Source organism: Homo sapiens, chromosome 11 (assembly GCF_000001405.40).
Source record: "Homo sapiens chromosome 11, GRCh38.p14 Primary Assembly".
In the NCBI taxonomy this organism is placed as follows: Eukaryota; Metazoa; Chordata; class Mammalia; order Primates; family Hominidae; genus Homo; species Homo sapiens.
In genome coordinates, this window is record NC_000011.10 from 9,124,186 (window position 1) to 9,150,906 (window position 26,721).

A 26,721-nucleotide genomic window follows, 5' to 3' on the forward strand; every position below is an offset into this window, starting at 1 on the left:
ACCCAACCAGAGATACAAAAGGGCTTTGAGCAACGGCAGAATTATTGGAATAAGTGTGTGCTCCCAAGCCAACTCTCTTGAGAGGAATATTGCATTTGCTACAAAACCAACCTAGTTGTTTCCAGTCAGTCCTCTGCAGAAAAGCTACACAACCATGAAGATTGAGGAGCAGCAGCTGAGCAGTGGGTGGCTTAACTTTGTCTAAAAACAAAAACAAAAGTGAACACAAAGTCTGAGTTACCTAGTAAGTAGGGATTTGAATGAGGTGAAGTGTTAAGTTCCAAATGTGTCCTATGTCAAAGCAGCCTTGGAATCGCATATTTATCTTTATCACCAGGGCTCAGAGTTTGTGTTGGAAATAGAAGAAAACACCCAGATACATGTTTTCCACCTAAGTGCTGTAACTGAGGGAATATAGTGTGGCTCCAGTGGGGTCATAGCTCAGAGGCACCCAGGTCCTTCCCAGGAGAGTCAGTGGCTTCTTGCTGTTCTAGTTGCCCTGGCCTTGAGTACAGCCCTCTGATCACAGCCCTGGGGATTCCCTCCATCTGGTCACCCTGATCCAAAGCTGGAGGAGGTTGGTGAATGGCAGTTCTCAGGTCACATCTCCTGATGCCTGGCAAGAAACACATCAGGTGAGGCCAGAGGACAGAGATGACTGGCCCATGCCAGGTAGTGGCCACGTGGCTCTCTGTACCAGTTAGGGTCTAAGCAGGGTAGCAGAAGCACAGTGAGTGATTCACAAAAGGGGGTTTGTCTAGCCAGGCATGGTGGTGGGCGCCTGTAATCCCAGCTACTCTGGTGGCTGAGGCAGGAGAATTGCTTGAACCCAGGAGGAGGAGGTTGCAGTGAGCTGAGATTGTGCCACTGCACTCCAGCCTGAGTGACAGAGCAAGGCGCCGTCTCAAAAAAAAAAAAATTCTGTAGTTTTGTACAAGATGAGACTTAACCTTGGGTACTTCTTGCTGAAGCTTTAATGCTTTGTAAATAAAATCGGATGTTTATTAGAAAAGGTGGTTTATCATAAGGATTATGGGAGCTGGTGAAGAATTCTAGGGGAGACTGTTGCCTTTTACATAGTGGTGGCCCTGGAGTCTCTGCTGATCAGCAGGGCTGGAGGTTGGGAAGAAAGCTGCGTAGAAGCAGGGAAAAGGGAGGACAAACTGGAACCTGTAAGGACAAACCAGAGCCTGTTCCTGTTTCTGCCTTACCAGAAATAGTCACATGGCCCTGCCCAACTATAAAAGCACTGGGAATATTGTGGGGAAATATATGTATATTCAGTAAGCAGAAATGCCTCTCAATCAAATATTAGTTATGTGATAATGTAACTGAGGAGGAAATGGAATCCATGCTTGAATGATTCTCTGAAAGGTATCCTTTCCAGGTTTTTTTTTTAATCATATGATATGTTTTATTGCCTGAAGATTTAGAGAGAATGTTTCTTTCCAGCACTCTGGACTTCCCCAAGAACAGGGTTGAGAACAGGAAATTCCCTTCAACTTCCTTCTTTAAGGTCAAGCACACCTTATGGCCCATCCCTAAGAAATGTCTCCTGGAGGTAGGGTGTCCAACTCACCCTGATTTGCTCAGGACTTCCCAGGTTTTAGCACTGAATGTCCTGCGTCCTGGAGAATGCATTAGTCTCAGCTGGATACCCTACTGAAAGAGTATGAAATAGATCTAAGGACTTTGGAATAACTGCAATAATTTGAATCTATTAATTGCTGACATTTTTATAACAGCTTTATTGAGATATAATTCACATACCATCAGCTGGGGACGGTGGCTTACGCCTGTCATCTCAGCACTTTGGGAGGCTGAGGTGGGCGGATCACTTGAGGTCAGAAATTCCAGACTAGCCTGGCCAACATGGTGAAACCCTGTCTCTACTAAAAATATGAAAATTAGCTGGGCATGGTGGCGCATGCCTGTAATCCCAGCTACTGGGGAGGCTGAGGCATGAGAATCGCTTGAACTTGGGAGGTGGAGGTTGCAGTGAGCTGAGATCGTGCCACTTCACTCCAGCCTGGGTGATAGGGTGAGACTCTGTCTCAAAATAATAATAATGATAATAATAATTCACATACCATAGAATTAACCAATTTAAAGTATACAATTCAATGGTTTTTATTATATTTACAGAGTTGTGCAAACCATCACCATAGCTGTCTTTGGAACATTTTTATCAGCCCAAAAAGAAATCCCATATTTACTGTAGTTACTCTTCATTTGTTCCCCAGCCCAACACAACCCTATTCTCTTTCTGCCTCTACAGATTTGCCTCTTCTGAATATTTTGCATAAGTGGAATCATACAATATATGGTCTTTTCAAGGGTAATCCACGTTGCAGAATGTATTGGTACTTTAATTCTTTATCTGGCCGAATAACATCTCATTTTGTTAATCCATTCATCAGTTGATAGACATTTGTGTTGTTCCTACCTTTTGACTATTATGAATAATGCTGCTATGAACTTTCATGTACAAGCATTTGTGTAAACATGTGTTTTCATTTCCTGTGGGCTGATTCCTAGAACTGCTGAGTTATAAACTAACTTTTATGTTCAACCTTTTGAGGAACTGCCAGACTATTTTCCAAAGTGGCTGCACTCGTTTACATTTCCACTAGCAATGTATGAGAATTCCTGTTTCTCCACATTCTTACCAACACTTATATCTGTTTTTCTGCTTATAGCCATTCTAGTGGGTATAAAGTGGTATCTCATCGTGGCTTTGATTTACATTTCCCTGGTGGCTAACAATGTTAAGCATCTTTTCACATGCTTATTGGTCATTTGTACATTTTCTTTGAAGAAATGTCTCTTCAGATTCTTTGCCCATTCTTAAATTGCGTTGTCCTCTTATTACTGCGTTCTTTATGTTTTTTGGATACTGGTCCCTTGTCAGATATATGAGTTACACATATTTTGTCTCATTCTATAGGTTGTATTTTCACTTTCTTGAACAGTGTTCCTTGAAACATAAAGTTTTAAAATTTATGGAAGTCTAGTTTTGTTTGTTGCTCATGCTTTTTTTTGTGTGTGTAGAGCCAACTGATCTTAGACAAAGCAAACAAAAACAAAAAGCGGGGGACACCCTTTTCAACTAATGGTGCTGGGATAATTGGCTAGCCACATATAGAAGTATGAAACTGGATCCTCATCTCTCACCTTATATAAAAATAAACTCAAGATGGATTAAGGACTTAAATCTAAGACATGAAACTATAAAAATTCTAGAAGATAACATTGGAAAAACCCTTCTAGACATTGGCTGAGGCAAGGATTTCATGACCAAGAACCCAAAAGCAAATACAATAAAAACAAAGATAAATAGCTCAGACTTAAACTAAAGAGCTTTTGCATGGCAAAAGGAACAGTCAACAGAGTAAACAACCCACAGAGTAGGAGAAAATCTTCACAATCTATTCATCTGACAAAGCACTAATATCCACAAACTACAATGAACTCAAACAAATCACCAAGAAAAAAATAAACAATCCCATCAAAAAGTGGGCTAAGGACATGAATAGACAATTCTTAAAAGAAGATATACAAATAGCCAACAAATATATGAAAAAAACACTCAACATCACTAATTATCAGGGAAATGCAAATCCAAACCACAATGTGATACCACCTTACTTCTCCAAGAATGGCCATAATCAAAAACAGTAGATGTTGGCGTGAATGCAGTGATCAAGGAACACTTCTACACAGCTGCTGGGAATGTAAACTAGTACAACCACTATGGAAAACAGTGTGGAGATTCCTTAAAAAACTTACTACTAGGTTTCTACCCAGAAGAAAAGAAGTCATTGTACGAAAAAGATACTTGCACATGCACGTTTATGGCAGTACAATTCACAATGGCAAAATTGTGGAACCAAGTCAAATGCCCATCAATCAATGAGTGGATAAAGAAACTGTGGTATGTATACATGATGGAACACTACTCAGCCATATAAAGGAATGAATTAATGGCATTTGCAGTGACCTGGATGAGACTGAAGACTATTATTCTAAGTGAAGTAACTCAGGAATGGAAAACCAAACATCATATGTTCTCACTGATATGTTGGGATTAAGCTATGAGGATGCAAAGGCGTCGGAATGATACAATGGACTTTGGAGACTTGTGGGGAAGGAGGGGGCACCAAAATCTCACAAATCACCACTAAAGAACTTACTCATGTAACCAAACACCACCTGTACACCAATAACCTATGGAAAAATAAAACATAAATAAAAATAAAATAAACATAAATTTATAGAAGTCCAATTTTGTTTGTTGCTTTTTTTTTTTTTTTTTTTTTTTCGTAGAGACAGGGTTTCACTATGTTGGCAAGGCTGGTCTCAAACTCCTGGCCTCAAGTGATCCACCCACCTCAGCCTCCCAAAATGCTGGGATTACAGGTGTGAGCCACTGGGCCTGGCCTAATTTGTTATTTTTTTGTAGAGATTGGGGTCTCACCATATTTACCAGGCTGGTCTTGAACTCCTGACCTCAAGCAATCCTCCTGCTTTGGCCTCCCAAAGTACTGGGATTACAGGTATGAGCCACTGTGCCCAGCTTGTTGCTTGTGCTTTGAATGTAATAGCTAAGAAACCATTGCCTAATCTAAGGTCATAAAGATGTATGCCTATATATAGCTTTAGCTCTTACATTTAGATCATCAATCCATTTTGAGTTAATTTTTGTATGTAATGTGAAGTAAGGTCCAACCTTATTCTTTTGCATGTGGATATCCAGTTGTCCTGGCATCATTTGTTGAAAAGACTATTATTTCTCTCATTGAATTGTCTTGGCACCCTTGCCAAAAGTTATTTGACCATAAATGTGAGGATTTATTTATGTGCTCAATTCTATTCCATTGATCTATATGTCTATCCTTATGCCAATACTGTACCATCTTGATTACTGTAGTAAGCTTTGAAATAGGTAAATACAAATCTTCCAACTTTGTTCTTTTTCAAGCTTGCTGTGGCTATTCTGGGTCCCTTGAATTTCCATATGAATTTTAGGATCAGCTTGTCAATTTCTGCAAATAAGTCAGATGGGATTTTGATAGGGATTACACTGAATCTATTGATCAGTCTGAAGAGCATTACCAGCTTACCAATGATCCATGAACAATGATGTCTTTCTATTTATTTAGGTCTTCTTTCATTTCCTTCAATTATGTTTTGTAATTTTCAGAGCATACATTCCGCACTTTTTTTGTTAAACATTCCTAAGTATTCTATTCATTTTGATGCTATGATAAATGGAGTTTTCTTAATTTTCAGTTTATTGCTACTGCAGTAAGTTTTATTTTTGTATATTGATACAAAAATACAACTTATTTTTGTGTATTGATCATGTATCCTGAAATCTTCTAAGTTGTTGTTGTTTTTTTGTTTGTTTGTTTGTTTGAGATGAGGTCTCACTATGTTGCCCAGGCTGGTTGCAAACTCTTGGATTCATATAATCTTCCCATCTCAGCCCCCCAACTAGCTAGGATTACAAGGATGTGCCACTGCACCCAGCTCTTCTGAGCTTTTTTATTAATTCTAATAGTTTTTTAGTAGATTCCTTAGGATTTTCTATATACGAGATCATGTCATCTGCAAATATAGTTTCACTTCTTCCTTTCCAATCTGGATGACTCTTATTTAATTTTCTTGCCTAATTATTACTGACTTATTTTTAAGAATCATTTATTTGCTAGGTCTTTTTGTCTGTAGCACACACCAATAACTTGGTGCTTACTTTATTTATAAGAAAACTGAGGAACAGAAAGGCACACTACCTGGATGTATGGGTCCTACAACATTCTAAGACTAAAACCTAGCTGTCTCAGTGTCCCAGACTAATGACCTCTTTGAAGTTGGACAGCATTATTCTAAATAAAGAACTCCCCCAAGAGAATCAACTACAATTGTAAATTCAGTAAATTGAAATTTGTTGCAAATAAAACCAAGCACCAATTTTAATTCAACCTTCAGATTGATTTTTGCTACAAAGTTGTACAAATCTACATAATCTCAATTATGCTAGAGACTGAGCTTAGTAAATTACACAACCAAGTGAGCCTCAGTGGTAGGCTGAGGTCACACATTTCCAGCTCTCACCAGAGGTACCTCCAAACCCCAAAACTGCATAAAGAGGCACAAGTCCAAGTCCAGAAAGAATAGCTTTTACAAAGATTTGCACACACTTTTGGCTAAAGGTTTATTTATCGGAAGGCCTGTCCCTAATGTGTTCTGTTTTTGGTTCTCAGTTTTAACATCAGTGAGAGCACCAACATTTTGGGGAAGTGGAGCTTAAGCATTCAAAGAGCTGTCAGGCCTGTGACAGCCTGTAGGGGTAGGGAAGCTAATACTTGTCCTTAAGGCCAGAGCTTACCAAGGACAAGAAGATCAGGAACCAAGATGGCAAGTAATGTACAGTTTGGTCCAGTGATGCCCTTGGCCCAGCTCTGGAGCAGCCTAGAGCTCTGGCTGAGAAACTCAAGCAATTGAAACCAGACTCTAGGCAATTAATCCTGCAGTTCTGAGGTTGCTATAACTATCCCACCTGTTTAGCTGGAGTTAAAGGTCAGACCCTATAATAAACCTCCTTTCGGAAGTTGAGATCACCACGACCCCAGCCAAAGGGCCAAGTCAGAAGTGTTCAGGTCCTACCCCTCCCTGGAGCCAATAGCAGGCTTTATGTTCAGGGTCAGAGAAAGGCAGGAAGGAACCTCGAGTTCCAGGGCTTCTTTTAAGTGTGCCAGCCAGCCCCAGCTCCCTCAGAATTAGTATGAGAAAAGGAAGTTCAAAATAGCTCGAGACTGTAAACACAGGTGACTGTAAGCCTGTGAGCATGGACGTACACACCACCTCCCAAATCTTAGTTTGACTAACATCACAAGTCTGTGTTGTGAACTAAAGTGTAGACCAAGTATCCCTAAGGCCTATACAACATCCTTAATACCTCTTCTTCCTTACCCCAGAAGCAATCCATCACCAGATCCTCCCAGTCTTTCCTCTGAAGCAATCTAGAATCCATTCCCTTCCCTCCAGCTCTACCACCACTCCTAAGCCAAGCTGTGCTCATCTCCCCTGTGGCTATTCACTAGGATGCTCACATCTCTTCCTCAAAATGCAAATCTGAACATATCACCCATCTCCAGAAAATCCTTCCATGACTTCTCAGGTCTCTAATGGTAAAGATAAAACTCCCCAGGTTGTCTCCATGGCCCAGCACAGTTGGTCTCCAGCCACAGAGCAGGTCCCTGAGTTTTCACAGGGTTTATCATCTGCCTTCTGGAGCACACTAGCCACCTCTTGCTTATCCTGCCCAGTCGCTATGATGCAGTTGATTTAATGCATCTGTGTGCTATTCTGTGGGATGTCCAGATTGTCCCTCTCTCTCTGCATAATGACTGAAGGCAAGAGAGTTAATATAACTATGGGGGAAAACTGCAGATGAATATCTTTGTCTGTTCCACATGAATGCCAACTGTTCTGATCCTCTTGTTCCATTGGAATAGAAAAGAACACGTGTGAAGTTTTTAGGTATCCAGTGGTCATGGTGTGCCAGGACATCCCCTTCAAAGTAAAACGCAAGTTGATGCCCATTTCATCCTTCCTACCACAAAGAAGGATGCACAGCACGTGGCAGGGCTCTTTGCATTCTGGAGGCCACACATTCCACACCTAGAAATTCTTCTCTGGTGGTACCGAAAGTTGCCAGCTTTACACGGAGCCTGGAACAGAAAAGGGCTCTACAGGAGGTCCAGGCAGCTAGGCAAATAGCTTATCTTTTCGATCATATGATCCAGCAGACCCTATGGCATTGGAAGTGTCAGTGATAGGTAAGATGCAATACAGACCTCTTTGAAAGCCCCAGTGAAATAATCACAAAGCAGGCCCCTGGGTTTCTGGAGCATGACATCTGCATATACCTTTTGAGAAACAGTTCCTGGCATGTGACTAGGCTCCAATTTAGACGCAATGCTTGACTATCAAGTGACAATACATCTAGAACTGGCCATGACGGACTGGCTTCTGTTAAGTCAGCCAAGTCCTAGTTAGGTAGGGCCTGTAGTACTTCATTGCAAGATAGAAACGGTAACCAAGCTTGGTTTACTGGTGGGTCAACTCAGCGTGTGGGTGGAAGCCAAAAATGGACAGTGCCTGCTTGACAGCCACAGTCAGGGGTTTTCTTGAAAGACAGAGGCAAGGGAAAATCTCCCCAATGAGCAGAACTGCAAGTGCGGCAGCTGCTTGTGGAAGGAGAACTCTACACAGGAGACATGTTCCTGGGCAGCAACCAAGGATCTAGCTGCCTAGTCAGAGGCTGGAAGAAAAAGTCTGGAAGATTGAGGACAAGGAAGCATGTGGGTGGACATTTAGAAATAGGCACAAAATGTGAAGATTTTGTATCACACATTAACACCCACCAGAAAGCATCCACCACAAAAGACAACTAACAACTGAGTAGATTAAATGACTCAGCCACTTCATCACTGGCCATCCTGGAACTGGCACAACAGTCTCATGAATGGAATTGGTCACAGTGGCAGAGATGAAGGCTACTATGTATGCGCCTAAAAGCATGGACTCCCACATGCCAAAGCTGATCTAGCTATTGCTGCCTCTGCCAGCAACAGAGATCCATGCTGAGTCCCAGATATAATACTATTCCTCAAGGAGACCAGCCAGCCACCTGGTGGCAAGTCAATTGCATGAGGCCCCTTCCATTCTGGAAAGGCCAGCGGTTTATCCTCACAGGGATAGAGACGTATCCTGGGAATCAGCTTGCCTTTTCTGCCTACAGAACCTTAGCCGGCACCAGTATCCTCAGAAGTTTACAGAGTAACTGATCCACAGGTATGGAATTCCATCCAGCATAGAATCCAACCAGGGACCCACTTCACAATGGAGGTGAGCAAGTGAGCCTATGACAATAGGATCTACTGGTCATATATATATACTGCACCATCCAGAAGCTGCCAGCCTGAAAGAGCACCAGAATGGCTTACTGAAGGCACAGCTAGGGCACTCGCCTGGAGGCAATAATCTGCAAGGACTGGATGCCATCCTTCAGGACCCAGCACATGCATTAAATCAGAGAGCTATAATCACATCTAAATTACAGCTTCCTGCTATGTCCCCTACAGGAAAAATGCATGGGTCCAGGAACCTAGGGGCAGAAGCAAGAGTGGCTACACTTACCATCACTTCCAAGGACCCACTGGGGAATGTTGTGCTTCCTGTCCCTGAACTCTAGGTTCCGTAGGGTTGGAAACACTAATCCCCAAAGGGGGCATATTCTTGCCAGGGACACAACTACACCCGTTAAGTCCCACTGAACTACAGAACTCTGGCTGCCACCAGGGTACTTTGGACTCCTTGTATCTAAGAATGAGTAGACAAGAAAAGAGTCACCATCATGGCAGAGATGACTGAGCTTGAATAGCAGGACGTGGTCGCGCTGTTTTTATACATCAGTAGGGGCTAAAATAATGTGAAGCCCAAATGATCCATTTGGGTATCTCTTGGTACTCCCTTGTCCAGTTGTAACTCTAAGTGGACATTTGCAGCAACCCTGGTCAAGAAGAGTATGATGACCAAGGGCTTGGACCTCTCAGGAATGAAGGTTGGGGTTATACCACTAAGCAAGCCAAGCCCCACTGAAGTGATAGCTGAAGGTGATGGGAACTTAGGATAGCGCAGAAGGGAGAAGGTAAGTACCAACCATGGCCCCAAGACTAACTTCATCAATGGTGATTGTAATTTGTTCCCCAAAGCTCCCTCTTCTAGGTTTCCCGTCGGGAAACCATGGAAAGAAACATGGGTGCATTGTGGAAAAGAGGATCTGTGCAGTATAAGGGGCAGACTGTGCAGGTTGTGGAGCTGCATCACTCAAGTCTCCTTCAAGAAAACCTGACAAAGTGCCCAGAGGAGTCATAATTAATGGCAGCCCCCAGCTGCTTCCCCTGTGAATGCAGAAGCCACACTTCCTCTAGGCTCTGCTTCTAGACAACAACTGAGCACAACAGGATTACTGGTGTGCCCAGTCTTGCCCAAAGTGGACTCCTCTCATGAGCAGCTTTTTGCCAGGGACTCCCCATCAACTTCACTGAGATTCTTCTCAGAGCTGGTCTATGGTCTAAGACTTCCTTCCCAGTCCTTCCTCCCTCTGTCCTCTCCCAGGGGTCAGCCTGGCCCCTGGATCTAAAGCCTCTCCCTGCCTACTCTTGCTCCCTTGCTCTTTAGCCCTCACAGGTGTTTCCTTTGTCTTGGCATCTGCTTCTCAAAAAAACCCAAGTTGACAGAAATAATATATGATCTCTCAAAGATAGAGTACCTCTACTAAAACATAGGGGCTAGCCGGGCAAGGTGGCTCACGCCTGTAATCTCAACACTTTGGGAGGCCAAGGCGGGTGGATCACGAGGTCAGGAGATTGAGACTATCCTGGTAACATGGTGAAACCCTGTCTCTACTAAAAATACAAAAAATTAGCCGGGAGTAGTGGCACGCACCTGTAGTCCCAGCTACTCAAGAGGCTGAGGCAGGAGAATTGTTTGAACCTGGGAGGTGGAGGTTGCAGCGAGCCACAGATAAATACATAAAAATAAAACATAAGGGCTTGGCCGGGTGCAGTGGCTAACGCCTGTAGTCCCAACACTTTGGGAGACTGAGGTGGGCAGATTGCTTGAGCCCAAGAGTTCAAGACCAGCCTGGGCAACATGGCAAAACCCCGTCTCTACAAAAAATACAAAAATTAGCTGTGCATGGTGGTGTGCACCTGTAGTCTCAGCTACTCAGGCTGAGGTGGGAGGATTGCTTGAGCCTGGGAAGTTGAGGCTGCAGTGAGCCAAGATTGTGCCACTGCACTCCAGCCTGGGTGACAGAGTGAGACCCTGTCTCAAAGAAAAGGGTGGGGCAGCGGGGTGGGCCAGGCTTGAGGGGGAAGGATGGGAATAACATACCAAAAAAAGTTTAACTGTTTTCCATGATCATAATTGGTAGTAGAAGCATTAGTATTGTTATTCTGAGATGGCTGTGTTTATAATGTGGGATAAAGCAAATGGTTAATTAGGGGATCTTCTTATTCTACCAATTTCTCTGCCCTTCAAACCTAGGGTTCTCATTATGGAAAAAAGAGATACAGATGTAATATATAAGAAGTTAAGCCAGGCATGGTGGCTCATGCCTGTAATCCCAACACTTTGGGAAGCCAGGCAGGAGGACTGCTTGAGCCCAGGAGTTCAAGACCAGCCTGGGCAATGTAGTGAGACCCTGTCTCCACAAAAAATTTAAAAATTAGTTGGTTGTGGTGGTGCACACCTGTAGTCCCAGCTACTCAGGAGGCTGAGGCAGGATCACTTGAGCCTGGGAAGTCAAGGCTGTGTGAGCCATGATCGTGCCACTGTGCTTCAGCCTGGCCAACAGAGTGAGACCCTATCTCCAAAAAAAAAAAAAAAAAGTAAAAGTATGTTATAGTTTGGTTTGATCCCTCCAAATCTCATAGTCAGTTTCGCCACGCTGACCAGGCTGGTCTTGAAGTCCTGACCTCAAGTGATCCATCCACCTCGTCCTCCCAAAGTGCTGAGAATACAGGTGTGAGCCACTGAGCCCAGCCTCCTTCGTCTCTCTCACCCCTCTCTTGCTATGTGATTCTGCACACCCTTCCTCTTCCACCATGTGTGGAAGCAGCTTGAGACCCTCACTAGATGCAGGTACCAGCATCATGCTTCCTGTAAAGCCTGCAGAACGATGAGCCAACTAAGCCTCTTTTCTTTAAGAATTACCCAGCCTCAGGTATTCCTTTGTAGCCGCATTAAATGGACAAAGGCACCCTATAATCCTGAATTGGAATCAGAAAGAACACTGTAAAATCATGGGGTACCATAGATGCATGTGTGTATACACACTCATGTATACATACATATTTATATATGCATTTAACATATATAATTCCAAGACCTTCACTATCTTTAAAAATACATATTTACTATATATGTTTCTAGATGTCTATATTAAATGTATAAAAATGTTATATTTAAATATAATCAAAGCTCTGTCTACTGAATAGGCCTAGAACCAATGATCTACCAGTAACAATGAGAATTTCTAGTGTCCAATTATGGTCTTGCAATACCATTTCCCACTTAAGGAAACCAGGGCTTTTTGGAGAAATGACTGATTCCAAGTCTAGGACAGAAAATGAATAAAGTGAGCCTAGAACATCTTGCAATACCAGAAAACAAAGCAGATATCAAAGACAACTAGAGTTGTGTCAGAACAACTCAGGAACCAACTTAAAGAGGCTCCCAAAGGCCAAAGGCAGGACAATAAAGATAATAATTGCAATGAGATGAAGCCTATCAAATACATCTAAACTCATGAGTTCATAATATTGTTTAAAAAATAGTCACCTTCTGAGGATAACAAAGAACCAGTTCATATCTTAAAAGTTGGGTAAATAAAAGGAAAGAATTAAGCACTTATCTGCCTTTCCCACACAAACTCTACTGGGAAATCAAACAGTAGATGAGAGACAATGTCTCCTTATAAAATTATTCCATCTAATAAATGAAGAGAAAATGATAGATTAGAATATCCCCATGCTGCAATCCCCAGTGAATTACTTGCTGGATGTAGGCATTGAGCATCAGTGGCTGCTAACATAACAAAAGTGAAAAACAGATGTTACGTGCTTCTTGCTAAATGAGCACACCACTACCTAGAGTCTTATCAAAGGGATCAACCTGAGGCAAATTGTCTAGATCTAGCTGCTGATCTGCAGGAAATGCTGAGGATAAAGGAGTATATTGAACTGCACCACGGGCATGAAATGAGCAAAAACCCAGGCTGTGAAAATCTACAGATCAAATGGCTTAAAATCTTCAACAATTTGTAAGAAAAGGAAAGGGATGGAGGGGACCCTTTAGATTAAAAGAGACTTAAAAGATGTATCAAGTTTTTTTAAAAGGACAGTAAGACTATAGCATGTAGGGATGCACATCTGGGTGACAAAACAATAAAGAAACTCAACGAAATTATTACTTATAAAAGTTAAGATGGAAGAAGGGAGGTGCTGGGACTGTGATGGGGAAGGGGGAACATGGAGGACCCTGGGGGGCTGGCAAAGTTCTATTCTTGACCTGAGTGGTGATTATAAGGGTGCTTGCTTTATAGTAATTCCCTGAGTTCCTTTGCTTGCTTGTTTATTTACCAGTCCCTGAAATCACAGCCTGGGAAGCCCTGAAGTAGAGCAGGTGCAGAAGCTGAGGCAGGCAGGGCTGCTTGCTGAGTGAACCAAACACACCTGATTTACCCAGGACCACTGGAGAGGCCTGGCTGGGCCCTACACGGAAGAACGCAGTTGACTCAAATGTCCTTGAAATCTTGAGCTACTAAACAGGTCTGTTCTCTTATATCACACATCATTCCAAAACAGATTTGCAGAAGATTACAAAACAAAACACAGTAGAAAGTGAGTAGGATCAGCTGTTACAAAGAGCAAGGAAATAGTTGGTCCCAGCACCTGCCTTAAGGTAAGCTCAGGCCTAGGCCCACAATATAAACACATACAGCTGAGTTCCATGCTGCCCTTCTTGCCCAGCCAAGAATCCCACTTCCTGCTCCAGAGGTACTGCCTACCTTCCTTCCCCTTTCCTCGGCCTTCTCCGAGAGAACTAAAGCTCTGTCCGTGGGCTCCAGGCAGACGGCTGCAGTGTGGCCTCTCACCCCCTCTGCAGGCAGGACGCTGCGCTGCAGCTCTCTGGGCCCTCTCCTCATCTCTTCAGAAGCATTTACCACCTGCCAGGCCCAGGGGATGGAGACAGGCAAGAGATCCCCCTTTTCCCTCTGGGAGCTCACGGTGCAAGGGCTGAGCCTGACACGAAAGCAGGCAATGACAATCCAGAGAGGAGATGCCAGCATCTAAGAAAATGAAGGAGCACAAGGATGGAATGATTAACTGCCTAGGGAGATTGGGGACACTTCACAGCAGGTGACTGCTAAAGTAAACCCTGTACAACAAACACAAAGTGGGTGAAGGGGAGGCATTCCAGGCAAAGGGAAAATGCATGCAAACCAGGAAAGCATAAAAGAGGGCACTGATTGGTCTGAGGTGCCTGACTTGATCACGTTACACTTCTTCTGGAGCTTCCTGCCAAAGCAGCCTGAAGAATAAAAATGAACGAAGCTGGACCTCTCATAAAGGTCTCCCACCTGCCATCCCCAGGAAAGCAAACCTTTCTTTCAAGAGCTTCCCCCGACCCCCAGCTTCCCACACCTGGTCTCCCTTACCCTCTCAAGAAAGGGCCCATCCTGTCTCAGTCAAGTGACAACCTCTGCACCCCTGGCCGGGTCTTTTCCCTCCTGTGTCTCAGTCTCCTCCTCTGTGGAGTGGGGAAAGAACCCTGTCTGCATCCATGTGAATCAGCCACATAACAGCTAGGAAGGCTCCTAGCACTGCGGGCAGAAGGACCCAGGAGACCCCAGGCCCTCAGGGGCATCCTGGGCAGGCCACAACCCCGAGCCTGCTGGTAAAGAGAGGTGATGCCACAAGACCATCCTCACAGATGGACCCAACTGCACCCGCAGCCACCCACTGCTCATAAACCTCCATAAAAATCAGTGATCCATGCAGTTTTTGTTTCAGGTGTTTTATTAAGTGGGCCATACTGTAGCTGGTTTCTAAGTTGCAAAACATAAATTTAATAATAATAACATAGCCAGTTAGATTGTGACAAGCTTTTCCTTTCCTTAAAAAAAGAAAATACTTAAAAACACACAATGGCGGGTTAAATAAATAAAACATTTTAAAAAAGAAAAAAGAAAAGAAAAACCTGTTAAAACATGCTTATGTTTACTTCTGTGAAACTGTGCCAACAGGAAATGTGGTATTTGGCACGATGACACATCCCGGCATGTCTCCTTCCCAAACAATACTGACAAAAAAGAAAATACGTGGGACTGACTCATCGGTGCTTGCTTAGAGGCACTACTAAAAATCCCTTTGATTGGAGCATGGGGCTTCCCGCGCAGCACACCTGTGTGTGGCCTATGAAAGCCAAATATCCATAATAATGTTAATATAGAAAAACATTAGTTTAAAAATGATGTGGAAGGGCCTCATTAATGCGACGGGGCAAGGAAACATAACTGTCCCGCACGCAGTGCCACAGGCTCAGTCCAGGGAGGCCTCAGGCTTCCAGCATGTGGCCACGGCGAGGGAGGGCACCAGCTTCAAAATAAGCGGCACCAGCCTCGCTCCCTCTCCCTATCACTCTTTCACATGAAAGTGTGTAAAAAGCAAATCAGCAAATAAACTCTAAAATAGATTATTTATTCCAAAAATCCTCTAGTTTTCTTTTTACAGTGAGTGTACATTTTGTCTCCTACTCCTGCACAATCGCTTAAGTCCCTTTGGGAAAAAAGGTCAGAGCTGCAGGGTGAGTCTTTCTCAGTCCTGCTGCTGGCTGGTGCTGGGAGGTCAGATGTCGATGCCCTTGACAAGGGACGTCTCCAGCGTGATGTTGAACTCCTGCAATGTCTGCAGCACACGAATCAAGGAATTGACAAGTGTATGGTCTTTGATCAGTGCCACATCCTCATACATGTGTGCAGTGATGGGGCAGTCAGCCAGCAGGGCAATCCAGTGGTGTAGGAGGTGATCTCTGGCAGAGCGGGAGCAGTCCAGGCAGGTCAGAGGGGCAAAGGAAAAGGAAGAGAGAGCGTTAGTGCAAGGCCAAGGGGGAAACCATGAACTAAGTCTGAAGCTGGAGAAGCTGACAGCCCCCCACACCCCCCTTTCCCAAACAGGGACTGGCAAAGAGGTCTTTCAGCTCCAGGACACCAAACAAACCTGACCCAAATCAGCCCTGTCATGAGCCTCCAAGCCTCCTCCTCCCCTGCCTCCCTCGCCCTGCCTAGTCAGCCCCACCACTGGTGTCTCCCAGAGCTTCTCTCCTCCCACAGCTACCACCACCAGGAATAATAATAAGCACTAACCTCACATAACACTCAGCATGTGCTGGCACTGACATAAGAGATTTAATCTTCATGATAACCCTGTGATATGAGGTAGGTACTATTATTATCCCCACTTTATAGATGAAGAAAGTAGGGTAGATGGAAGTTAAGTAGCTTGTCCAAGATCACATGGCTAGTAAATGGATAACTTGAGATCTGAACCTAGTGAATGCGGTTCTGGAGTCTGTTTTTAACCACTATGCCAATTCTCTCCCTTTATGCAGCCTGAATAAACTGCCTTAAGTTTATTTGAGCTTCATGCTCTCTCACCTGACCTACAGGAATAGCCCCTAATAATCATGTCCACTCTAATGCATACCACCCATAATATCAGATTAATATTACTTCAGTCCCCTGATGAAACAACTTTGTACTAATATGAAAAGAATCTTTCTCTGTCCCAGCTCAGGGGCCCTACCCTCCTTTCAACTGTGTTTCCTATTACTGCCCTTGCCACGTTCTGTTATTTCCTTCCATTAAAGGCTCACTTAAATACCAACTCCTCCCTGAAGTCTTCTCTGATCTTTCTCCTCTACCTTTTCAGCATATTGTATGAATGTACACTTCATTTTTGGACCCTCAAAACCTTCTTCCATGCTCTGTATTTAATTAGGACAAGTAAGCTTCTAAATGTTGGCCAGGCATGGTGGCTCACGCCTGTAATTTCAGCACTTTGGGAGGCCAAGGAAGGCAGATCACCTGAGGTCAGGAGTTCAAGACCAGCCTGACCAACATGGAGAAACCCCGTCTCTACTAACAATACAAAACTAGCCAGGCGTGATGGCGCATGCCTGTAATCCCAGCTACTCGGGAGGCTGAGGCAGGAGACTCACTTGAACCCAGGAGGCGGAGGTTGTGGTGAGCCGAGATCACACCATTGCACTCCAGCCTGGGCAACAAGAGCGAAACTCCATCTCAAAATAAATAAATAAATAAATAAATAAATGGTAAGGGGCCACGTTTTATTCAGCTGTCTTCCTACCAACTTCCATAAGGCCATTTAAATGTCTAATGAAGGAATAACTAGATATACTCTGCTTCAAACTTCCCCAGTGGTGTGATTTTGATCTTTCCTTTCAAAATGGGGCCCCTCTGCCCCGAGTTACATACACGTTGTCATCCCTACCCCGACAGATCACCACACACATAAGTCACGTGTTGCTTAATGACAGGGATACAGTCTGAGAAATGTGTCATTAGACAGTTTCGTCACCATGCGAACTTTATAGGGTTCTCATACAAACCTAGATGGTAGAGCCTACTATATGTCTAGCCTGTTGCTCCTAAGCTACAAATCGGTACAGCCCTGTCACCAGCCCCCAGGCCTGCTCTTCTACACTTCTCCTGGAGCTTCCTGCCACAGCAGCCTGAAGAATAAAAATGAAGGAATACTGTGCTGAATACCGTAGGCAACTAAAACACAATGGTAAGTATTTGGGTACCTAAACATCTCAACCTATAAAAGGTACAGTAAAAACAGAGTATAATCTTATAGGACCATCATCCCATAAACAGTCCGTCACTGACAAATGTTGTTACGCAGCACATTTTATGCAGTGTGTGACCATACACGATACACAGAGGAAATTCAGGGCTTCTAGGAAACCTTCTAAGGCCTCATCTCCCTAAGGGCACCTGATGAGCCATTCCTCACCCCTGCACTGCACCAGGCCTCCAACACCACCACCAAGGCTAACCGCTGTGCACTCTGGGCCCTGGGTCTGCAGTACCTGGCTCCCAAGCACACCAGCATCTGAAACTTGCCATCCTTGCCGATGTTCCGGGGAGTATTGTTGATTGCAGTGACAAATCGGCAGAAGTTCCGGGCTCTTGTATGCCAGTTTTCCTCAGGGACTACTTCATTCTTCTCTAATGTCTCATAATAGGTTTGTGCTTTTTCTGTGAAGAGTAGAAAAGCTTGCCAGTGAAAAGGCTCTCAACACCAACCCTGACGGTCCTACAGGCCACTTGCCATGGGCCTCTCCAAGTCCACACAGGTAACTTAATGAGAATAGCACAAGTGTTCTGATGTCACTGGTCATGTTTCAAAATGATCCTTAGCTTCCCTATCCTTATTTTTTAAATTTATGTATGTGGCCCTTGATATAAAGATGTTCTTTTCCCTAGTCTGAAGACACAAAAAATTCTGAGGATGGTTTCTTGCATGAAAATTCTCCATATGGGTGCAACACAGGGCTTGGGGCTCCAATACGCTCAACTGGACTTTGGGATCTATAAGGGGAAAGTGTGAGGACTCAGGACTAAGTCCATACTAAATAACAGATGTCTAGAAGAATCTTTTCTGTGCAATTCTCAAGAGGTAAGCATTTACCAAGGACGGGGAGGAGAGCTCTTGTCACTCCCTTCAAGAAAAACCAGAGCAAACAAATGAGATCTGAGAGTCACCTAATTTGGGTTCTGCCTCTCAGAGTGGTCAGCACCCATGCTATGCTGGTGAGTCCCCTTATATCTCTACATGCTTCTCCCACCCTCATACTCCAGCTCAACTCACCCAGGAAATCCCAAATGAAGACATTTTTGAAGAGCCGGGGCGATTTAAATCCATGCTGGAAAGCCTGTTCCAAGGCCGAGACAAGGCCACACTCTCCACAGAGCAACAGCGTCAGACTGCCTCGCTACGTAAGGAAACAGGGGAGGGTGCCAGGCTTGTCTCAGCCGAGCTGCCCTCCCACCATTGCATCCCTAAACCCACAGCCCAGAGTTGGGAGGGCTGCAAAAGACAGGCTAGGACTTTGTCTGTTTCCCTAACACCTGGCACAGTGCCTGGCTCAGAGCAGCTCCCAGTGAAGAGCTGCTGAATAAATGGATGAAAGAAGAGATGATGGATCTGGGTCACACACAAGGAGATTCTCCACTGGAGGACAAAGCCAGTGTGGCCACTATTCAAGGAGACCCAGGCAAATCTAGAAGAGGACAGGAATAGGCACTGTTCACTAGGGGCCCAGGGACTCTATTGGGTCATCAGTATGGAGGGAAAACAGGGTAACCTGAGGCAAAGGCCCCCAGAGGAAGGAGTCTGCTCCATCTCCAACTAGCTGAGGCACACACTCTACAAGACTCTAGGGTGTCCACAGCACATGGGCCTGGAAGAGCATAACAAGATAATCGGAAAAACAAAATTATTCTCTCTTATTCAATGTAAGGCCCTGGATTGGAGGGCAGGAAGGCTCACCTCTTTCTCAGGCTTATGGAAGTGCTTCACAATGCCATTGACTGCCTCCCCGATGGACTCCTGGATCTGCCCAGTGTTCAGCTCTAATAAAAATCAAGCAGACATCCCTAACCAATCTCTGAGGCTAACAGTGCTTAGCTGCCTGAGCAGGAGACTGAGGACACGGGGAGGGCCCATAGGAGAGGCAGGGCAGCTGGACCCTAGGAAGCAGAGGCGCTTGCCCACCCAGCTTTGCTGATTTAGCTCTTCCGCAAATCTTGGGGGAAAAACACAAAAGCTAACACCTTAGAGTTCTATCTCTAAGAAATGCTGGTAAAGTTTAGTTTCCATTTTACCTTGGAATTGTGGGTAACCAAAAGAGAGCCAAGCCTTGGCTGTGAAGCCCAGGAATCAGGCAGGGGGAGTCCAGAAAGTAGGCCCCTCTCCTTTAATGGATCATGCATGAATATATACAGCGCCCAGGTTTGGCAGCATGAGTTCTCTCCTCTCCTGCCAGCCCTCTAAGGAGAGTGCCAAATGCTCTCAGTGATTCATAAGAGAAGGGTGCCATATGTGTGAGGTGGCTTTGTTAGCAGAAGTGTTTCCTGAGGCAGCTGCACAGGCTGGGACCCAGGTTCCCATTATCAGGGCTCACAGAGATCCACCCATTCCCTAGACTGTATGGCATGAGGGCCCAACCCCTCCTCCCACTTACTGGGCTTGTTGTTGGGTGAGATGGTAACAAGCCTCCGGATGACACTGGGGGACTGCTGCAGCGGCGGGGTCCGGCATGGCCTCTCATCCACCTCAGGCTGGGATGTGAGCAGCTCCCCAACTAGGATCCGCTCCAGGCTTCCATCATCCATGCCCTTCCCTAACCACCGGCCACACGGGAACCTGAAGATCAGACAATGGACTGTCAGAGCAGCCAGCTCCTCCCTGCTGCTCACAGGAAGAGCCATCAACAAAGCCAATCCCTGGAGATAGGCTCTGAAACCAGGATAGAGACTCCTTCAATGCTCTGCTGGTTCCACCATGTATCATCAGAGAATCACCCTGAGTGGCATAGGTGGCCTGGGATCTGGGCACAGCAATTCCACACATCTTCACCTAGAAACCCTCCTTCTGGCTGGGCCTGATGGCTCATGCCTGTAATCCCAGCACTTTGGGAGGCCGAGGCGGCCGGATCACCTGCGGTCAGGAGTTCAAGACCAGCCTGGTCAATATGGCGAAACCTGTCTCTACTAAAAACACAAAATTAGCTGGGCGTGGTGGTGCATGCCTATCATCCCAGCTACTCGGGGAGCTGAGGCAGGAGAATCGCCTCAGCCCAGGAGGCACAGGCTGCAGTGAGCCAAGATCACGCCACTGCACTCCAGCCTAGGTGACAGAGCAAGACTCCGTCTCAAAAAAAAAAAAAAGAAAGAAAAAGAAACAACAGAAGAAACCCTCCTTCTACTTACTTTCAAGTGTATGAGGCAGAGCCAAACAGGAAGTTGCCTCAGGTTATCACAACCTAAAGGGTCTCCTTGGGAACTCCACATACCCAAGCATCGAAGAGCTCCTGTAGATACACCTTGCCCCTCTACCTTACAGCCTGAGGGTATACTTACTTGTAGGTATGTCCTGTGATCTCATTCCTGACCATCACATACTCCACCAGCCATTTGGCATACAGCCCAGAGTTATCATGGCCAATCTGGACAGTAGTAAGCTTCCCCAAGTTCTGGCACTATTAGAGAATAGAGAAGATGAGGTAGGTCAGGAAAATCAGAGAAAAGAACAGTAGTTCTCGGAGGCACAGATCTGACTGGCTGCCTGCAACCTGACCCCTCAGCATCTGCAGGCTTAGAGGTCATGGCTCTACATACCGCCAGAACTGCGGTACAGCACTATCTCATGGGGGTGCCCAAGGCTGAGAAAGAAAACACTCTACCTAGAAGAACAGGGTCAGGGAGCAAGAGATTCTGGAAGTGGGTTCTGAGGTCTCTGGGAACAGGTGGGCTGAGTAGCTGAAAGAACTCCTGGGGACTTCTCAACACACTATGCATGGAGAGATGTGCATGTCCAGACAAGTAAGTGCCTTCCAAACATTGTTTAGACAGGGTGGGGTCCCCCTCCTCAGGGTCAGTCTTTGGATCCAGCCTCAGATCATCTCAGGAAGGTCAGCTATGCTGAAGCATTACACTGTACATAGCAAGCCCTCTGAAAAACCCTGCAGAAAACTCCCCAAAGCGGCTGTTGCAAACTCAGATCCCCACAGAGCTGTGGCCCCAAATAACACATACCTCGAAGGTCATCTCTAGCACATTCCTGGGAATCTGCATGATCTGTGTCTCACCCAATTCTCCTGATATACAGATCCATGGGTTGGCAGTGAACATGGAGCCCCCCAGCTTCTTGCTTGGTACGATCAGAATGTGGTACGGGATCACTGTTTAGGGGAAGCCACAAAAGTATTGAGGAGAATTAGGAATCTTTCCCATACCAGATGGGACTCTGACCTGCTCCAGGAAGGCTGGCACAACTGTGGCTCCTGCTATCTCAGCTCAAGCAGAGCCCTGGAACAAGAGGGCCCCAGGACCTAGTCCCTGGCTAATGTAGAATATTAGCCAGCTACCCCATGGCCCCTCCTCAATTTCACTCCTCTCAGGCTTACCACCCAAACATCAAAGATCCAAGCCTATCTGTAGGCTCAGAACTAAATGAACCTGTTCGTTAAACAATATCCCCAACTCCTAACATTGTACTGAACTGCTTTTTAGAGCACTCTTCAATCTATCATCTCATGAACCCTAATAACAATCATAATCTTTGGAGAGGAAGTATTGCAATCCTTTTTCCAAGGCACAGAGAAAGAAAGTTTGCCTCGGGTCTTCTAAATTCCAGTCCAGGGCTACTTCTATTAAGCCCACAGCCCTAGTCTCTAAAAGGGAAGATGCAGCATCAGACAGAAACAAGAGTCCATGCTGCTGAGTAACTGGCCAAAGAACTAGCCATGTGGCAAACTCAGAGACTACCCTCCACCCAGTAGAGAATCCTGGCATCAGGGAAAGAAGAGGCTCAAAGGGAATTAGACCATATTGAACCCTCTTCCCTCTTCTGTAAATAGAGAGACTGGGACTCACAGCAGGATAGACTCTGCTCACAGACACATAATGAGTTAGCCAAAGCTGAGCCCAGAATGAAATCTCCCACTGGTATCTGGAGTTCTTTCTGCTACCTCAGAAAAGAGCTCTTTTTCCCTTCAGCCTGGTTTGAAACATTCTGTGATGCCAAGTGAGCCTCTCAGGCGAAAACAAAAGGGAGATTCTTTGTGGGTATGCAGGGAGGGAGGTAAACTGCATCAGCTCAACTGACTCCACTCCACCTTCATCAGCTTAGGCTCCCAGAGCAGTGCCTAGGACAACACCGACAACACAATGGCAAAAAAGACTGAGCTCTCCAGTTCAGAACAAGAATGAGAAACTTCAGAGAAAACACAGCCTCCAAGGAGGGCAAGTGCACCTCTCTCCCCACAGAGGCAAAAGACAAATAGAAAGTACAAGGGATAATCTTCTTTCTTTAAAAAGGGGACAATGAGTGAGTCTCAGGCAGGTTCATAAAGACTGCCTTGAGAAGGCCAGCTGGGAGCACAGGGCTACTCACGGATAGTTGTGAAGACATTGGTGAAGCAAAAGTAATCGACGGCATTGAAAGACAGGAGGTGATAGAGGAACTGCTCCTTCTCGTCATCACAGCGCAGGAAGGCATAGCGCTTATATAACTTTCTGTTGGAGAGGAGGTAATACATCAGTCTCCGACCAAAAGGAAGGGAAAGAAACTAGAATTTTCAGTTCTGGAAGGAGACAGCTAAGGGAAGCATAAGATGTCAAGCTTCAAGTTCCTTAGGTTCACCCTATAAAGGAACAAAGCTAGCTACTCTAACTAAGGGACAGAGGGACAACGGTTTAAGCTACAGCAGGAACAACAAAAATCAAATACTGCCTGTGTCCAAGGTATGTTGATGTTACTATAATATCAAGTGTCAGAAGTCATGAAATCTCCTTTTCTAAACTGAGGGCTGGAATGAAATTCCATCAAGGATGACACAGGTCTTCTCAGGCTTCTAGCTAGGCTGTCAGCTAGTGTATGGTGTGTGAGTGGCAGTGGATGAAGGTCTGTGGTCACCATTCATCACCAGGCCTAGTTTCGAACCCTGAGTAGATCTGAGAGCCACAAGTCAGAACACTGCTCTGAATGGGGGTATAAGCCTAGGACAGATTCAGAGGCGAGAAAGGGCAGGCTTCTGCTCCCGCCTCTGATCCAGGTCACAGGCAAGGAAGAGCCATGCAGATCATATCCTTCCCCTTTTTTCAAACTTTCTCCCTTCATTTTCACTGCCTATTCATCAGAGGTCAACTCCTTTGCCTGACATTCCAGGCCCTCCGCAGCTTCAAAGCAATGATATCTTCCCCCAAATAGAGGAGACACCCAGAGCCAAATGTACAGGCCTTCAACACAAAGAACAAAAGAAGACAACTGTCCTGGTTGTCCAAGCTGCAATCACCATGGCCAGACGGGTACAGAATTCAGAACTGTGAGGTTCTACCTAGCCAGGTTTACAAGGCACTTTCAACAGATAATTTATCAACCCAGGCCTGTTATGTCCAGGTGCTGGAGAGGAAAGCGCCTATCCTCAAATGCAGTCTAAGTGAATAAATCAGGTAAAGGCCATGGTATAGGACTGCTCACAATGAATAATCAAACAAAAGGCTGTTTCTGGGAATTTAAAGAGCCATACGCTTCAGTGGTCCTGGAAGGCCTTCTAGAACAAGAGGGACCTGAAGGGCAGCAGAAATTTAGACAACTGTTGTACAGACAGGTTTGGAAACCAGTTTGGCTGGAGTTGAGGGTTCAGGGAAGTGATCAGTTAGCAATGAGACTAAGAAGTTAAGCTACTGTACCAAAGGTGTCAAATGAAAAAAAAAAAAGGCTATTCAAATGAAGGAAGGTCCTAAAATTTTAAACTAAGGAGTTTGCAATCTGCCCAGTAAGTAAGGGGTTTCTGCAATTTGCCCTAGAAAAAGAGACAGCCATGACCAACTTCAGGAAATTTAAATTTAGTGCAGGTGAGAAGTGAAAGGGAAATGAGGATTAAACTAAGTCTGTGCAGTAAAAATGGTAAGGAGACAGGTGGGACAGAGGTGAAGAACCTGAAACCTGTATGTGGGAGATAAAGCAAAGCAAGGAGTCAAAACTGACTCCAAATTTTCAGTGTAGGTACGGAGAAGAAGTGGGGGTAAGCTTTTCAGAGAGCACAGTGGTGACATTAACAAAAAATCTGAGAGTAAAGTAGTTATGGTGAAGACTCTGTGAAGCTTGCTTTTGTTCTCTCTGAGCTAAAGATAGAATATCAGAATGGAAATAAATGCAGGAGTGGAGTTTAAAAGACATGTCAGGGCTAGAACTTCAGATGTGGGCATCTCCTGCTTAGAGGTGAGAGAAGTCATGAGAATTGGGTGAGATCACCAAGTAAGAGAGCAAGCGAGAAAGCAACAAAGAAACTGTGTGCATGCAAAGAATTGAAGATGGTGAAAGCCAACACTGTGCAAAGAGTAAGCGGAGAAAGAGAACAAGATGGTATAAGGTCATGGCAGCCACATAAAGTGAGTTTCAAGGTAAAGGGGGCACTACATGGTATTAGTCACTGCAGACAAGTTAAGGAGAAAGAGTTTAGGCTCCCTATATGGGAGCTAACTCATTTCTTCCTTTGGAATTTAGAATTCAGTGGGTCCCATGAATACACAGCCCCCATGAATATACAACCCTGCCTCCACCTTATCCCATCTCCAAGCTACAAACAGTCTTGGGGGCTAGCTGGAAATCCCAGAGACTGAGGGACATTCTATCAAGATATACTCTTCATAGACTGTCCACCTCCTGTCTGTGCAGCTAAGCATACCTTTTATGTGGGCTGGCTGAATCCCTAGTGGATGCCAAGCAACATGCTCAGCCTTGGGAAAGGGACAGGTTTATGCCTTCAATGAAAGCAAACTTCAGTAAGTAGCAAGCAAATAGACAATGATAATACAACACATCATGGTGAAAAGGGGATGAACAAATATTCTAACAAATGTTATGCATGCCTGGAAGAGGGATGAACCACGTTTCTGGGGAGTCCAGGAAAACTCTGGGAAAGAAAACTGAGCCCTGAAGAAGTTTACCAGGTAGAGTGTGGACAGGGACTAGGGTCATGCAGAAGTACAGACAAGAAAAGGCTACAGACATCCCGAGAGGGGTGAGGGGTATGATGTGTTGAACAAGAGAGAGAAGAGGACATCTCAGAAGTTTCCTTTTAATTCTCCAATCCTTTGCTCCCCAGAACAGGAAAGAGACAAAGGAAACGCCTTATGTCCAAGAGGTATACATGTCACCTGAATACAGGAAGGAGAGGAAGACCTCATCCTTCCCACTACCTCTCCAAGAAAGCTAGTTTTGGGCATGCAGGTTGAGAAGACAGGGAGAACCAATATAGCGGAAGTATTCTTCTACTGATAAAAAGGGAGAAGAGGAAATACTGCAAAACCTTCATAAGCAAAGAGGTTAGCTGAATGCAGCAGCAATGTCACACTGAATACTCCCCCTTCCCACACAAGTTTCCAATCTCTTCCCTCCATTCCTGGGAGCCTGCTTCTACTCCTGGCGGAGCAGCCTTACTTGGTGAGCTCATGGTCTGAGAGGAGCTGCTTCAGGTGTCTGGAAAGTAACTTTTTTTCCATGGACAGTCGCACCCATGCTCTGGCCTTTCCCACATCAGTCTTGATTTCCCCGATGTTCTGGATGTGCCTGGAGGAAGAATGTAAAAAGGAAGTGGAGGGTGGGATGGGAGATGAACTCACTGCCAATAACTTACCTGTAAAGCCAAAGGAGACCTGCTGAGACAGACTTATCTCACCCTGGGAGAGCCTATCTCTATATTCTCCAAATACTGGGCTTCCATGTAGCTTTACCAGATAGGCTCACCATATTTTGGGAGGAAAAAAGACAGTACAGCCCTTAAAAAGCCAGGCTAACTCTGAGCCCTTAGGGCCTGAGATACTCTCCTATGCTCCCTCACCTCCAAAAATGCCAGGAAACCCAACGGTTTGTACAGCTTTACAAATGTATTATGAAACACAAGGCTTTGTGATTAGGAGGGCTTCCATGTTAGCTGAGATGCTGTAGCAGCCACTGAGACCTTGTTACTAAAAGTGGACACCTAAGCAGCAACTGAAAACAGGATTTTAGTGGCTTATTACATGTGAGCCCATACTGACCTCATATCCTGAATCAGGGAGATCCTCAGGGGAGGCATGAGTGAGCTGGCATCAGACTTCCTACGTTCTGAATCAAGAAGTATTCCTAGAATAAACAAGTTGGTCATGTCCAAAGAGATCTGAATATCCAAATAGCTGACTGCCCTTCCCTTACCTTAAATCACAAATTGCTATGGGAAACAGGTGGTTACACTGGTAACACTTTAATTGATTGTTTCATAAATATT

General features: G+C 45.1%; 1 protein-coding gene across 5 annotated transcripts in view, besides 2 other annotated features; it reads right to left on the reverse strand.

The window, feature by feature from the left end:
* Positions 13,834 to 14,023: an enhancer, noted in NCBI's record as "active region_4401". NCBI's record gives its function as "activates an Ori minimal core promoter by ATAC-STARR-seq in GM12878 lymphoblastoid cells {active_cell/tissue: GM12878}" and the evidence as "EXISTENCE:reporter gene assay evidence [ECO:0000049][PMID:35858748]".
* Positions 14,640 to 26,721, reverse strand: part of DENND5A (DENN domain containing 5A) — a 126,526-nt gene continuing 114,444 nt past the window's right edge. For 3 of the 5 annotated variants that reach the window (NM_001348749.2, NM_015213.4, NM_001348750.2), the window contains 10 exons: positions 26,495 to 26,579; positions 25,896 to 26,024; positions 22,845 to 22,966; positions 21,485 to 21,630; positions 20,810 to 20,928; positions 19,912 to 20,093; positions 19,218 to 19,300; positions 18,537 to 18,660; positions 17,755 to 17,923; positions 14,640 to 15,669 (listed from right to left, as the gene is read on the reverse strand). In NM_001348749.2, coding sequence (NP_001335678.1) covers positions 15,486 to 15,669; positions 17,755 to 17,923; positions 18,537 to 18,660; positions 19,218 to 19,300; positions 19,912 to 20,093; positions 20,810 to 20,928; positions 21,485 to 21,630; positions 22,845 to 22,966; positions 25,896 to 26,024; positions 26,495 to 26,579 — 1,343 coding nt within the window. In that variant the 3' untranslated portion in view covers positions 14,640 to 15,485. The remainder of the gene's footprint in view (positions 15,670 to 17,754; positions 17,924 to 18,536; positions 18,661 to 19,217; positions 19,301 to 19,911; positions 20,094 to 20,809; positions 20,929 to 21,484; positions 21,631 to 22,844; positions 22,967 to 25,895; positions 26,025 to 26,494; positions 26,580 to 26,721) is intronic. The other 2 variants (NM_001243254.2, NR_145966.2) reach the window with 2 other exon arrangements.
* Positions 14,837 to 15,131: an enhancer, noted in NCBI's record as "tiled region #9656; HepG2 Activating non-DNase unmatched - State 17:Gen3'". NCBI's record gives its function as "activates a minimal TATA promoter and a strong SV40 promoter by Sharpr-MPRA in HepG2 cells {active_cell/tissue: HepG2}" and the evidence as "EXISTENCE:reporter gene assay evidence [ECO:0000049][PMID:27701403]".